Source organism: Homo sapiens, chromosome 4 (genome assembly GCF_000001405.40).
Source record: "Homo sapiens chromosome 4, GRCh38.p14 Primary Assembly".
NCBI classification, from domain to species: domain Eukaryota; kingdom Metazoa; phylum Chordata; class Mammalia; order Primates; family Hominidae; genus Homo; species Homo sapiens.
Window position 1 is genome coordinate 95,556,933 of NC_000004.12, and position 16,736 is coordinate 95,573,668.

The following is a 16,736-nucleotide window of genomic DNA, read 5'->3' on the forward strand; positions in this document are numbered from 1 at the left end:
GAAAGGACACTTACTTCACATTGAGGAATCAGTGAGATCTTAAGTGAAAGCACATTAGACCCAGGTCTTGAAGGATAAATAGAATTTGCTTTTGCTGAGTTGGGGAGAAGAAAGAACTGGAGCCACGGCAGGCAAAAGGAGCACAGGAATAGCAAATACTGAGTGACTTAGGTTGGAGGCCAGAAAGCATCATGCTTAATGCTCTTATCATTATCATTATATAAATTATAATTGTTAACATTTTTGAACACTCATTAATCAAACACGTTGTTTTGTATAAAGAGAGATATTCATTTAATACACACAACAATACTACATATGAAGTGGTATCATTATTATCCTCATTTTAAGCATGAGGAAATTGAGGTTTATTTGGGTTAACTTGCCTATGCTAAATTAGTGTCAACTTAGGATCTGAAGTTGAATTTATCTGGATGCAGGCAAATACTGGCAGGAAAATTTGGAAATGAAGATAGAGCTATTTTTTCAAAGGTGTTTTGTGGTTTGCTAGGAAGTCTGTCCCACATTATGCATAGAATAGGAAGTGACCAAAGGTCTTTGGGCAATGAGGTAATAACATGACCATTTCTTGCAGCAATGTGCAAGCTGGACTAAAGTGGGAAGAAAAATCATGGAGTATCCATTTAGGAGTATATTCCAACAATCAAGATGAGAAGCAGCGAGAGCCTGGATGTAAGTAGTAGTAAGCAGAAAATGAGTGAAGGCTATATATACAAGATGCCGGATTGGGATGGTGGTTACTACTGCCAGAACACAGGATGAGAAATTTATGTTATTAAATATTCATGATATAATTAAGAATAAACTATGTAACCCTGAAAAACTACTTGTAACAGTAAGCCACCCTCAACTTAATTAAAAGTCATTAAAGAATTAAAAATAAGATTTAAAGGAAAGTGGGACACATTAATTTCTTAGGATTACTGGTGTTCATTGGGCCTTTAAATCGTTTATTCAAGAAATACTGTAATGACTCACCAACATTTTGGATATATAGCCATATTATTTGTTTCTCAAAGTCCCTAAAACTCTACCTGGCACAGAGAAGGTAATCAATAAATCTTTTAAAAATAAATAAATAACTTAAAGTAAAATAATAAATAAGAATATTTTATAGTATGTAACCTAAATCAGTCATTATAATTAGAAATCTTTTACTTTCTTTTTTTTCTAAATTTACTTATAACTTTATTGTTAGAAATGTGTTGTGCTTTATCCTGCAGAAACATGCCATAAATTATGGTTTGGAATTCAGCCCACACAATCTTGTTAATCATCTGTCATTATGTGGAAAACAATGCTATTACAGCATATATAATCCAATCCAAATATAACTTAAATGAAACAAAAGCAAAACATTTGATCTCTATACTTGTAGAAAAAATAAAGAAGAATGAGGAGGAAAGTGTAAAGTTTTTAAGGAGATTTCTAAGTTCATTTCATGTTATTTCCAACAATTCCAAACGTGAAGCCCCTCTTCTTGTTTCATGTCTAATTTCAATAGGAAATAGAAGGATTTTTTTTTAACATAGGTGTTGCACTAGTGCTAACTAGCCTTATGTTGATCATAGTTGTTTTTTGTTTGTTTACGGTATGTTAAGAAATTAAATTAAAAGAACAAAGAAGGTAAAAACGGAAATAAATTTTTGTCATCACATGGAGGAAAACAAATATAAAATACAGAGAAAGAAAGAAGGAGTAAAACAATTCAAGGGAGAATTTTCTAGAGGTATTTTAAACAGAACTGTGTGAAATACAAGTCCCCAAAGAATGAGATGAAGTTAAATAGTAAGGAAGCAATAGTTCAGATAATCACCCACAAGGGCCACTACCCCACTAGCCAAGAACAGCCAGGTATTATGGAGCAGGATTCAGTGGGCGATCCAACACTATAATTTATGAAAATATTACAAGTTAGATATTTTTAAGAATAAATGCCTTGCAATGATTTGCCTGCTTGTTTATATATGTTACTATTCTAGACTTTTAGCTAGCTTCTCAAGAAGGATTTTACTGTGTTATAGTAATATTTAAATCATCATCACCTACTCCAATGCAAAGTAGCACAGGACTTTGCTCCAAAGAACAAAGAAGTCAAGTCTTTGTTTCTATTGCTCTCCATGGGGTGTATTTAATAGGGAAGGAATAATAGAAACTTCTAGTTAAGTTAAGAGGGGGAGATCACCTTATATCAACATGATGTACCCTGGAAAAAATTTTTTTTAAAGGAAGCTATTCTGCATTCTGAGCATCGAAGGCAATTTTGCATCAGAGACATCCTGAATGCCCTTAGTGAAAAAGGACACAGGAGGTAACACTAGTTAAAAAACCATAGTAACTTTCTTGATCTCCACACTGGTAGAAGCCAAGGGCATGGGTAGTAATCGTGTGCTGCAGGGCTAGCAAGACTCAACACAAGGATGAGCCACGGGGCACCAGCGCACCTCTACCGTGGTCAAGTGTTTCAGAGCATGAACTCTGAAGCAAAAATGCCTCCTAACTTCTAATTCCTGCTGTGTCCCTTACTAACTTTGTCACCACAGAAAATTTCATGAGCTGCTTATAAGTTATCTGTCCCTGTCTATAAATTGGGATAGTAATAGCCACTTTATAGTAGTACTTACCTTGTAATATTGTTGTGTAGGTCAAACAAATTCATTCACATACTTCACTAATAATCATGCTTGGATAGAGTAAACATTAATAAATATAAGCTTTTAAAAATTATTATTATAATTTACTAAGTACCTATTTGTAAAAGATGGTTCAGAAATCTTTTAGTCATGTCACTGATATAAATGGCTTGTTATATTAAATAGTCATGTACTGCATAACGATGTTTCAGTCAACAAGAGTCAGCATATACAACAATGGTCCCGTAAGATTATACCAATTGTATTTTTTTACTGTACCTTTTCTGTGTTTAGTTATGTTTAGATACACAAATACCATTGTGTTACATTTGCCTATAGTATTCAGTACAGTAACATGCTGTACAGGCTTGTAGCCTAGGAGCAGTAGGCTTATGCCATATAGCCTAGGTGTGTAGTAGGCTATTTCATTTGGGTTTGTCTAAGGACACCCTATGATGTTCGCACAATGGCAAAATCACCTAGGGATGCATTTCTCAGAACATATCCCTGATGTTAAGTGACACATGACTATATATTTGTAACATTTTAAGTATTTTTATTTCATAAATGATCTAATGCTACATCCACTCATACAAATATTTTTACTCTTCAAAATGAAATAGTTTATGAATACTTAGTTTCAAAACCTCAACATATTCCATATTCCAAATAAATTGGCAAAAGCATGATAGAAGAAAATGATTCAATTATGTGATTATAACATAAAAATGTGAGCAGCGTGTTTCTGTTTATACCTTATGTTCACAAACTCAAGGTAACACTTGCAGCAAAGGAGACCTAGAAGGTCAGTTCTGTGCAGAATAGAACAATATCTACAAATGTTCACAATATTTCTTAAAGAGGGAAAACATTCAAGGGAATGTGACATGTTGGTCATAGGAATTCACCCAATGGGAAATGTGTATATAATAAGAATGGCTTTTCATATTCCTTATGATGGAAAGCTGATGTTACTCACCCACCATGCTTTTCTAATAGCACTAGTTGATTTGAGCTGAGATTGCCACACTCTTTTACTTAATTCTACAAATGCTTGCATTTATGAAAATTTCCAAGAATGAAGCCTGAATTTATGGAAAACTTGCAGAATGAAGCTTACTAACCTATGTGTGTATTTAAAATAGCAATTTTCATCTCATTAGCATAAAGGCTAACCAATTGAATATATCACTCAGAAAATATTATAGACATATCCATCTTTTAACATGTCAGCATTCAATTGGGAGATTATGTTATTGATGTATGTTTCAGGGTTTCCCCTCCCTGCCTTCTATACATGTTAGAGGCTCCTGTGCAGAAACCTGCCCTTTTAGAGATAAAAATGCCTCTTTGTAAGTGAACAGATGGTGTTGCTCAAGTTCAGAGACACATCTAGGCAGAATCTCAGGGGGAGGAGGGACTGCAGGGAGAGGAGGACTGGTGTAGTTTGAAAAGGCTTCCTGGGTGATTCTGATAGTCTCCCACCTCGCCCCCACTGTGAAGCTCTGCTTTAGAGCTTATAAATACATGAATGTCATGGAGATGTTGATTTGAGCTGCAAAGTAAAAAATGAATGCTTTTCCTGGTAGCAACTTGTCTGATTGCTCTTCTTTGCATTTTATGTCATAATTTTCAAAACCTGAGCATCTTAATAATATCTTTAAATTGGCCCATTTAAAAACTTCGGAATAGTTCAAATCCTACATTATTTCCATTTGTATGGGTGACACTGAATTGCAGGTCCCACAATGTCATTCAAAGATAATTTTTATTTTGGTTGTATTTTCATGTATTAGGCCACAAAATAAATGAATCGTACATATGTGACATAACTAAAGCAACACACAAATATTATTAGTAAAACCATTGAATTTAGGTTTGAGATTGAAAATAATTATAGTCAAAATTATGTTTGAACTCCTTTAAACCAACCATGAAAAATAGTATATGTACTATGTGTTTATAAACTTTCCTATCCACTTGTTAAACTAAAGAAATAGGGGAAAGTCTATATGCAGATGTCTGAGCATTCACACAATTATATATTTCAGGTAGTTTCATTTTGATTTAACTTTTATTTTAAGTTCGAGGGTATGTACGCAGGTTTGTTATGTAGGTAAGCTTGTATCATGGGTGGTTGTTGTACAGATTATTTCATCACTCAGGTATTAAGAAGCCCATCAATAGTACACTGAATAAAGAAAATGTGGTACATATACACCATGGAATACTATGCAGCCATAAAAACAACTAGATTTATGCCCTTTGTGGGTACACGGATGGGGCTGGAGGCCATTATCCTTAGCAAATTAATGCAGGAACAGAAAACCAAATATTACATGTTCTCACTTATAAGCAGGAGCTAAATGCTGAGAATTTCAGGTAGTTTTTTAATGCCAAACAAGTAAGGGATGCCAGAGAGAAGTTCCAGACAGTTAACTGGGTTTCCCGGAGCATAAACAACCTTTGTCACACCCAAAGGGTGTTTCTTGTGTTCCTCTGAAGGTACTGAAGGTTCCTATTCTTGAGAGGTTGGGAGTATAATGTCATTTCCTTTGTTTTGATAGTGTTGTAAATAGATGAATTTGGACTATATAAAGAGAAGAAGTTGTCAGAATTGGATTAATTTTCCATACACTACAGAAAAGATTGTGTTTTAAGTTTTGCTTTGATAAGTAGATGCAGAAGCCTTTCTAGCCCAGCTGTGAGTTTCCTGGAAGGGAATTTATAGAGTCGTCCCTGGGTATTCACGGGAATTAGTTCTAGGACCCCTGAGAATACCAAAATCCACAGATGCTCAAGTCCCTGATGTAAAATGGCATAGTATTTGCATATAACCTATGCACATCCTTCCGTACACCTTAAATCATCTCTACTTATAATACCTAATACAATGTGAATGCTCTGTAAATAGTTGTTATACTGTACTGTTTTTAATTTGTATTTTTTGTTATGCTGCTTTTTTTTTTCAAATATTTTCCATCTGTGGTTGGTTGAATCTGTGGATGCAGAACTTGTGGATACATAAGGCTGACTTAACAGAAGAGAGGAACGGACTGAGGCAAATGAGGGTCATGCTGGAAGCCATGTGAGTCCTGGGGGTGGAAAAGCTAGCTTATCCCTGAATGCATGCCTGGCTACCAGATCAAATGCCACTTGGCTAACAGTAGCCTCTGCATTTTATGTTTTCCTTGTGAGGCAACCTGCCCAGATTTTCAAGATTAGTAATTGCTATGTGGGAGATGTGGAGTGTGTGTGTGTATGTGTGTGAACCAGTTCTTTCTTCTGGGGTTCAGACCAGTACTTGTCTGTCATTAGTTTTCCAGCATTTCCAAGTGATACTAACGTACGTGACACACACACACACCCTTACTCACACACACACACACACCCCTACACAGAGTATACACTTAAAATTTTACCCTCCTTGCAACTTATAATTCCCAATCCTCTTCTAACCTTTTAACCTCTTACTCTGTATCCTTCTACCGCCCATTCTTCCCACGACTTCAGCCTTTTCTACATTTGCCCTTTTTCTCTCCACCTATGTTCTGTAAAGAACCAAAGCATGATCAATTTTTCAATCATAATTAAGATGAGACCCAAGGGAACACAATTTTATAGATAAGGAAACTGAGGCCCCAAAAGCCAAATTTACTTGTCCAAAGAAAGATAGAGACAGATTCAACACCAGATGATGATCTCTTCTGATTTCTGCTCATATTGGAAAAACTCTGGAATAGAATATATGTGATATCAGTTTCACTTCTGATCTTTACTAGCTGTATGATTTTCTGCAAGTTACTTAAACCAACTAAATAAACTTTGGTTTACCTATCTTTAAATAGGGAATGATAAAATTGGAATAAATAGAGTTGTTTTGAAGTATCACCCTACAAATGGATATAAAATGACCTAATATCATTCATGGTATATAGTAAGTGCAAAATAGGATTTTCCTACCAAGTCCAATTTTTTTCTTTTATGCCACCTCACCTTGCAATCTTCCCTTTAGTTTAATCTTTTCTCTCGTGCAAAATTACTTCTGTTTTTTTCTAATTTTACTATATATATTTACCATTCATGTTCATACTCAGGCTTCAGTGGCTGAAGAAATCTTTTCCAAACCTGTTAATAACATTTTGAGTGATAGAGCAGTTTCCTGTCTGCCCTGGTTTGTCTGAAGGTTAGCATATGGTGGGTCATACACCTACAGGCCTTGCAGAATTCTGCATGTCTGAATGCTGAACTAACCCAGAGCTGCAGTGGCTTCCTCTCCTGCAAGCAGTGGGAGTCTCTGAACTCCCTGCAAGACTTGAGCTTTCCCTGCACCACATCAGAGCAGCTCTGCCTTTCTCTGGCCATTGGCACAAAACACAAAGTTTAGGAGGTGGCCAGTGAATATTTATAAAATGATTAAAGGAATAAATGATTGCATAAACATATAAGTCCTTGCTTCCCTTTTTGAACAGAGCAGAGAGCAAGCATTTCTGTGTTGGAATCAGTGTTGTATTTCTCGCCATCCACTTGCTGGGCCTGTCTGTGTAGGCCTTTGAAACAGTAGGCTCTCCTGGTGAGCATCGTAAAGCCAGCTCCTTTCTGATTCTGTTTACCTCACAGAAGGGTCAATATATCAAGTTTAATCAGTCCTCTACAGGGGCACTCTCATTGAAAGGCATAGGGCAAAATGTTTTGAGGACATTTCTGAACACCTACTCCATCCTAAACTTTCTATTCCCCACTGCAGCCCCCGTGTATTGTTAGGGTTCACTTCCTCTTGAAGGTTTTTCTTTGTAAGGCTATCCGTACCCTCTCCCATTCTTACTCAAGTGTGGACAGCAGCCTGTTTCCCTCAAAACAGTTGAGATAATACATTTTCAAAAGTGGCCGTATTATATTAGAAAGAGGTACAAAACAGAATACAAAGAGGATATAAATAGTCATGTTTCAAAATTATAGAATTTCACCCCTTCTGGGGTAGATTTGCTGCTTTGACTTTGTAGATACCTCATTTGGCTTCATGCCCGCCTGGGTCTCTGATGGTCTCCTTTGATGTCATATTTTCTCCCGGCATGCATGGGGGGCACACAGGGCATCTCTTTCCCTTCAAAGTCAGTTGCAGAAAAGTGCATCCAACTTCTTACTCTATAAATCTCTACAAACCTCCAGTTGCAAAACTATGCCTTCCATAGTCAATGGCCAGAACGTGGGGATGGAAGCCATGTATGATCTCATTTACCTTCTTTGGATTATCTGTTTATCCCAGCCCTAGATAATTTCCTTCTTTTTTTTAACGTTTATCCACGTTTATTATTTTTCCTTCTATTTTTAGTTAACATATGATAATTGTGCATATGTATGGGATACAGTGATCTTTTAATACATGTATACAATAGGTAATGATCAAATTAGGATAATTAGCATATCCATCATCTCAAACATTTACCATTTCCTTGTGTTGTAAACTTTTACAATTCTCCCTTCTAGCTTTTTGAAAATATACACTAAATTATTGTTAACCATAGTCACCCTTCAGTGCTGCAGAACACTAGTATTCTTCCAGTCTAGCTGTAACTTTATTAACATCTCCCTAAACTTTCCTCCCCGCAACCCTTCCCAGCCTCTAATAACCACAATTCCACTCTCGACCTCTATAAGAAAAATTTTTATAAACTCCCTGATATAATTTGGATGTTTGTCTCTGACCAAATCTCATGTTGAATTGTAATCCCCCATGTTGGAGGTGAGGCCTGGTGGGAGGTGTTTGGGTCATGGCTTGATGCTGTCCTTGCAATAATGAGTGAGTTCTCACCAGATCTGGTTGTTGTAAATTGTTACACCTCCCCACAACCACCCAGTCTTGTTCTTGCTTTTGTCACGTGATATGCCTGCTCCCCCTTCACCTTCCACCATGATTGTAAGCTTCCTGAGCCCCCTATCAGAAGCCAACCAAATGTTGGTGCCATGCTTGTACAGCCTGCAGAACCATGAACCAGTTACACCTCTTCCTTATAAGTTACCCAGTCTCAGGTATTTCTTTACAGCAATGCAAGAATGCCCTAACACACTCCTACACATAAGGGAGAATAATTTGCCTTTTTTCTACCTGACTTAACATAATGTCCTCCAGGTAATTAATGTCACCCCAAATGATAGGATTTCATTTTTCATAGCTGAATAGTATTCCATTGTGCATATATTCATTTTCTTTGTCCATTCGCCTGCAATGGACATTTAGGTTGAGGCCATGTCTTGGTTAAACTAAAACTAAGAACTAAAAATAGAACTAAAAATTGAACTTTATTCAATAAAGCTACAATAAACATGGAAGTCCTGGTATCTCTTTGGTATTCCTATTTTTCATCCCTTAGATAAATACTCAGTATTGGGATTGCTGAATTGTACAATAGTTCTATTTTTAGTTTTTTTGAGAAACCTGCATACTGTTTTTCAAAATGGCTATACTAACTTACATTCCCATCAACAGTGTATGAGAGTTCCCTTTCCATGGCATCCTTACCAGCATTTGTTATTTTTTGTGTTTTTGATGATAGATATGCTAACTGAGATGAGATGATATCTCACTGTGGTTTTGATTTGTATTTCTCTTATGATTAATGATGTTAAGCATTTTTTTCATATACTTGATCATTTATGTCTTCTTTTGAAAAATGTCTGTTTAGAATCTTTGCCTATTTTTCAATTGGATTAATTTTTGCTGCTGAGTGGTTTGAGTTCCTTGTGTATTCACAAGGAACTTGTTGCTTGTTTGATAATGAATTTGCAATATTTTATTTCTTTTTACATGTTCTCTCTTCACTCTTGATTGTTTCTTTTTCTGTGCAGGAGCTTTTTAGTTTTATATGTTCCTATTTCTCTATGTTTGCTTTGTTGCCTGTGTTTTAGGGTCATATAAAAATCATTTCTTAAACCAATGTCATGAAGTTAAAGCATAAGTTGCTATTAGTTTTCTTTTACATGTTTGTTTGTTTATGCAATAAGCGTAAAGTCATCATCAATTTAAAGTAATGGGCAACAAGATAGTATTTGCAAGCCTCATAGTAACCTCAAATTACAATACAAGGGATATGCAAAAAATAAAAAGCAAGAAATTAAATCATAGCACCAAGTAAATCGCTTTCACTAAGAGGAAGACAGGAAGGAAGAAAAGAGAAGACCCCGAAACAACCAGAAAACTAATAACAAAATGGTAGGAGTAAGTTCCTACTTATTGATAATACATGTTTTGGGCACCTTTGTTGACGAGTTTGCTGTTGGTATGCAGATTTGCTTCTCGATTCTCTATTCTGTTTCATTGGTCTATGTGTCTGTTTTTATGACAGTATCATGCTGTTTTGTTTTCTAGAGCTCTGTAGTATAACTTGAAGTCAGGCAATGTGATTCCACCAGTATTGTTCTTTTTGCTCAATATACCTTTGGCTCTTCTGGGTCTTTTTTGATTTCATATAAATTTTAGAATTTTTTTCTGTTTCTTGAAGAATATTATGGTATTTTGATAGGGATTGCATTGAATCTGTAGATTGCTTTGAGTAGCATGGACATTTTAACGATATTGATTGTTCCAATCAACAGACTTGGAATACATTTCCTTTTTTTGTGTGTCCTGTTCAATTTCTTGCATGAGTGTTTTATAATTTTTATGTAGAGATCTTTCACTTCTTTGGTGAAATTAATTCCTAGGTATTTAGTTTTATTTATGGCTATTGTAAGTGGGATTCCTTTTCTGATTTCTTTTTTAGATTGTTCGCTGCTGGCATATAGAAATGCTACTGATTTTTGTATGTTGATCTTGTATACTGCAGTTCTAGTAGTTTTTTGTGGAGTCTTTAGATTTTTTTCAAATGTAAGATTATATCATACACACACAATGAAAATTTGACTTCTTCCTTTCCAATGTGGATGCACTTTATTTTTTTTCCTCTTGTCTGACTGCTTTAGCTAGGACTTCCAGTACTACGCTGAATAAGCCTGGTGAAAGTTGGCATCTTGTCATGTTCCAGATCTTAGAGGAAAGGCTTATAGTTTTTCCCCCATTCGGTGAGTCTGTCACACGTGGCTTTTATTATGCTGCGGTATGTTCCTTTTATTCCCAGTTTTTTTTATTGTTTTTATTATGAAGGGATGTTGAATTTTATTAAATGCTTTTTCAGCATCAGTTGAAATAATCACATGATTTCTGTGCTTCATTCTGTTGATATATCAAATTGATTGATTTGTGAATGCTGAACCATCCTTGCATACCTAGAGTAAATCTCACTTGCCCATGATCAGTTATCCTTTTGAATTTGGTTTGGTAGTATTTGGTTGAGGATTTTGCATCAATATTCATCAGAGATGCTAGCCTATAGGTTTCTTTTTTTGATGTGCTTTTGTCTGGTTTTGGTATCAGAATAATACTGGCCTTGTAGAATGAGTTTGGAAGTATTCCCTCCTCATCTATTTTTCAGAATAGTTTGAGTAGAAGAGTAGAATTGGTATTAGTTCTTTAAATATATTGGGTTTCAGGCTTTTTGTTTTTACTGGGAGACTTTTCACTCATTACTTGTTTATGGTCTGTTTAGGTTTTGGATTTCTTCATGGTTCAATCTTGGTAAGTGTGTATGTCTAGGAATTTATGCACTTCCTCTAGATTTTCCAATTCATTGGCATATAGTTGCTTACAGTAGCCACTAATAATCCTTTGAATTTCTGTGATATCAGTTGTAATGTCTCTTTTTCATCTCTGGATGTATTTATTTGGGTCTTCTCCCTTTTTGTCTTTGTTAATCCAGCTAAAAGTTTGTCAATTTTATCTGTCCAAAAAAAAAAAAACAATTTTTTTGTTTTATTGATCTTTTGTATTGTTTTCTTCATTTCAAATTCATGTATTTCTACTATGATCTTTATTATTTCTTTTCTACTACCAATTTTGGGTTCAGTTTGCTCTTGTTTTTCTAGTTGTTTAAGATACATTGTTAGGTTACGTATTTGAAATTTTTCTTCTTTATCAATGTGCACACTTATAACTATAAACTTCTCTCTTACTACTGCTTTTGCTGTATCCCATAAGTTTTATTATGTTGTGTTTTCATTATCAATTGTTTTGAGAAATTTTAAAATTTCCTTCTTGATTTCTTCATTGACCTGCTGGTCATTTAGGAGCATATTGTTTAATTTCCACTTGTTTGTATCATTTCCAAAATTCCTCGTTTAATTTCTAGTTTTATTCCATTGTGGTCAGAGAAGATGTTTGATTTTATCTGTTTTTTTTTTTAATGTTTTAAGACTTGTTTTGTGACCGAAGATATTGTCTGTCCTTGACACTGACCATGTGCTGTGAAGAATGTGTATTCTTCAGCCTTTGGATGAAATATTGTGTGAATATTTATTAGGTCCATTTCTTCTGTAATGCAGATTAAGTCCAATGTTTGCTGAGATTCTGTCCAGGAGGTCTGTCCAATGCTGAAAGTGGGCTTTTGAAGCCTCCAGCTATTATTGTATGGAAGTCTATCCTGTTCTTTAGGTCTAATAATATTTGCTTTATGTATCTATGTGCTCGAGTGTTGGGTGCATATATGTTTAAAATCAATATATCCTGGTGCTGAATTGACTCCTTTTTCATTAGATAATGACTTTCTTTGTCTTATGGTTTTTGTCTTTAAATCTACTTTTGTCTGTTGTAAGTATAACTACCACTGCTCATTTTTGGTTTCCATTGACATGGAATATCTTTTTCCACCCCTTTATTTTCAGTGTTTATAAGTGAAGTGTGTTTCTTGCTGGGACCAGATCAATGGGTCTTGTTTTTTCATCCATTCAGCCACTCTATATCTTTTGATTGGAGAGTTTAGTCCGTTTATAATCAATGCTATTATTGATAAGCAGGGACTTACTCCTGCTATTTTGTCACTTGTTTTGTGGTTGTTCTGTGGCCTTTTCTTTCTTTCTTTCCCATCTTCCTATTAGTGAAGGTGATTTTATCTGGTGGTATGATTTAATTTCTTGCTTTTTATTTGCTGGTGTATCCATTGTATGTTTTTCAATTTGATGTTACTGTGAGGCTTGCTAATACTATCTTATAACCCATTATTTTAAATTGATAATGACTTTACACTTATTGCATAAACAAACAAACATCCAAACAGAAAACTAGTAGCAACTCTACACTTTAATTTCATACCCCACTTTTTAACTTTTTGTTGTTTTTCTTTATGTCTTATTATACTATATCTTGAAAAGCTGTTGTAGCTATAATAATAATGATACTAATTATCATTATTATTATTTTGACACAAGGTCTCTCTCTCATCACTCAAACTGAAGTTCACTGGCACAATCACAGCTCACTGCAGTCTCAACTTCTTGGGCTCAAGTGATTCTTCCATTTCAGCCACTCAAGTAGCTGGGACTACAGGCACACACCACCACACCCAGCTAAATGTATTTTCAGTAGAGACAGGGATTTGCCATATTGCCCAGGCTTTTCTTTAACTCCTGGGCTCAGGGGATTCTCTCATCTCAGCCTCTCAAGTAGCGGGGACTACGGGCACAAGCCACGACACCCAGCTAACTTACTGTATTTTTAGTAGAGACAGGGTTTTGCTGTCTTGTCCAGGCTGTTCTTTAACTCCTGGACTCAAGCAATCCACCCACCTCAGCCTCCCAAAGTGCTAGGATTACAGGTGTGAGTCACTGCACCCAGCCTAGTTATTATTTTTGATTGGCTCATCATTTAGTCTTTCTGATTAATATAGGAGTAGTTTATACACCACAATTACAGTGTTATAATATTCTGTGTTTTTATAGGTGTTTTTCTGTATTCTGTTTTTCCGTGTGCTCACTATTAACAGTGAGTTTTGTTCCTTTAGGTGATTTCTTCTTGCTCATTAACATACTTTCTTTCAGATTGAAGAACTCCCTTTAGCATTTCTTGTAGGACAGGTCTGGTGTTGATGAAATCCCTCAACTTTTGTTTGTCTTGGAAAGTCTTTATTTCTCCTTCACACTTGAAAGATATTTTCACTTCATATGCTATTCTAGGATAAAAGTTTTTCCTTCAGCATTTAAAATATTTTAGGCCACTTTCTCCCAGCCTGTAAGGTTTGAACTCAGAAGTCTGCTGCCAGATGTGTTGGAGCTCTTTTGTATGTTATCTGTTTTCTGCTCTCGATGCTTTTAGAATCCTTTCTTTATCCTTGACTTTGGGAGTTTGATTATTAAATGTCTTGCGATAGTCTTCTTTCAGTTAAATCTGCTTGGTGTTTTATAACCGTCTTGTACTTGTATCTTGATATCTTTCTCTAGATTTGGGAAGTTCTCTGATATTACATCTTTCAATAAACTTTCTCCCCTATCTCTTTCTCTGTCTCCTGTTTAAAGCCAATAGCTCTTCGATTTGCCCTTTTGAGGCTATTTTCTATATCTTATTGGTGTGCTTTATTGTTTTTATTCTTTTTTCTTCTTTATCTTCTGAATAGCCTGTCTTCAAGCTCACTAATTCTTTCCTCTGCTGAATCAATTCTGCTATTAAGTTTCTCTGATGCATTTTTCAGTATGTCAATTGCATTTTTCAACTCTTGAATTTCTGCTTGATTCTTTTCAATTATTTCAATCCCTTTGTTAAGTTTATCTGCTAAAATACTGAATACTTTCTCTGTCTTAGCTTGAATTTCTTTGAGTTTCCTTAAAACAGGTATTTTGAATTATCTGTCCGAAAGGGCATATGTCTCTGTTTTTCTAGGATTGGTCCCTGGTACTTTATTTAGTTCATTTGGTGAGGTTATGTTTTCCTGGATGATTGTGATGATTGTAGACATTTGTCGGTGTTTGGGAATTGAATAATTATGTTTAAATTGTAGTCTTCATAGTCTGAGCTTGTGTTTTCCCCCCATTCTTGAGAAGGCCTTCCAGGTATTCAAAGGGACTTGGGCCCCCAGCCCAGTAGTGCTATGGTTTTTGCAGACTTGTAGAGGAACTGCCTTGGTGGTTTTGAATAAGATCCAGAAAAGTTGTCTGGATTACCAAACAGAGAACTTTTCCCTTACTTTTTTCCCTTTTCCCTTACTTTCTACCAAACAAAAAAGGTCTGTTTGTGCTGAGCCACCTGGAACAGGGGGTGTGGTGATACAACCACCCCTGCGGTGACCAACACTGGGACTGTGTTGGGTGACACCTGAAGCCAGCATAGCACTGAGTCTTGCCCAAGGTCCACTGTAACCACTACCTTGCTACCACCTATGTTCTCTCAAGGCCCTAGGGCTCTAAAATCAGCAGGTGGCAAAGCCAGTCATGTTGTGTCCTACTCTTCAGGGTGCCAGGCTCCACCTGGCCCTAGGCAGGTCCAGCAATGCTGTCTGTGAGCCAGGGTTTGGAGTCAAAAGCATTAGAATTTTGCCTGATGTTCTATTCTACTGTGGCTAAGCTGGCACTCAGACCACAATATAAAATCCTTCCTGTTTTCTCTCCTCTTTTTCAAGGCAGGGGAGCCTCTTCCTATAGGCACCACCTCCACTGGCCCACATGGGGGTTCCACCAGGCCACCATCAGTGTTCACTTAAAGCCCAAGGGCTCTTCAGTCAGGCTCTTACAGTAAATTCTGCCAGGCTTGGAACTCACCTTCAGGGCAGTGGGCTCTCCTCTGGCCCAGCGCTGGTCCAGAAATGCTGTTCAAGAGCTAAGTCCTGGAATTGGAGACCCCAAGAGCCTGATTGTTGCTCTACCCCAGTGTGGCTGAGCTGGTACCTAAGGTAAAAGACAATGTCCTCTTTACGTTTCTCTCTGCTTTTATGAAACAGAAGGAGTCTTCCACCATAGCCACCACAGCTGGAAATATTCTGAGTGACACCTGTAGTCAACACGACTCAGAGCCCAAGACCCACGGTATACAACCTGAATATCACTCCTGTTATTCAGGGCCCCAGGGCTCTTGAGTCAGCAGATAATGAATCCTGCAAGGACTGGGTCCTTCTTTTCAAGAAAGCAGGTTTCCTTTTGGTTGCAGGGTGCTAGGGACTGGATTGGGGACCTCAGGACTCTGCATGGTGCCCTTTCCTACTGTGGCTGAGCTGGTATCCAAGATGCAAAAGAAAGTCCTCTTTATTCTTCACTCTCCTGCCGTTCAGCAGAAGGAAGGAGACAATGTCATTGCTGTGAGCTACACTGACCGGGGTTGGGGGAGGAGTGGTGAAAGCACTTCCTTAGCAACCCTAGCTCATGTTTCCCTAGGTCACATGCCATTCTAGTTCCCTGGCTCTGAGCCAGCCCAGTAGTTGCCAAGGAATTGCAGTTCTTGTGTCCTTGGTTATCTTTCAAGTTTACCTAGGTTTTGGCCCATGGTGGTGCGGCTTGCTGAGAAACTCAAGTTCTGGCTAATTGGATGCTGATTCCCCTCTGGCTAGGTCTGGTCCAAATGCTCCCTCCATGAGCGGGCACTGGCTGAGCCCAGCATGTCTTTGCTCTCAGCTATAACAGGGAAGCACTGAGTTCAATGTAAAGTCCTCCAGTCACTGCACTTTCCTTTCCCCAAGTGTACAGGTTCTCTGTGCTACATGGCCGTTGCTGGGGGTGGAGGGATGGTGTCTCTGATTCAAGACTGTCTCTCTGACCCTCTTCAATGCCTCTTTCAATGACATGAATTTAAAACTAGGTACTGGGATTGCTTACCTGATTTTTGGTTCTTGTGATGGTGCTTTCCTGTGTGCAGATAGTTGTCAATATTTGGTGTTTTTGCAGGGGCTATAAATGATGTGGTCTTCTGTTCTGCCATATCACTCCACCCTGCTTTCTTGATTTCTTTTTCAGGTAATTCATTATTGATGCATAGAAATGCTACTGATTTTTATATGGTGATTTTGTATCCTGAAACTTTACTGAATTCACGTATCAGTTCTAAGAGTTTTTTGGTGGAGTATCAGGTTTTTCTACATGTGAGATCATGTTATTCGTGAAGAGGCACTATTTGACTTCCTTTATTCCAATTTGGATGCCCTTTATTTCTTCCTCTTGCCTTTGACTAGGGTTTCCAATACTATGTTGAATAAGAGTGGTGAAAGTGGCCTTTTTTTCTCTGCTTCAGTTCTTAGA

General features: G+C 36.9%; 1 long non-coding RNA gene across 1 annotated transcript in view; it reads left to right on the forward strand.

Moving 5' to 3' along the window:
- The window catches only part of UNC5C-AS1 (UNC5C antisense RNA 1), a 38,581-nt gene that overhangs the window by 7,785 nt on the left and 14,060 nt on the right, over positions 1-16,736 (forward strand). The window contains exon 4 of the long non-coding RNA NR_183914.1: positions 596-693. This is a non-coding gene — a long non-coding RNA (UNC5C antisense RNA 1). The remainder of the gene's footprint in view (positions 1-595; positions 694-16,736) is intronic.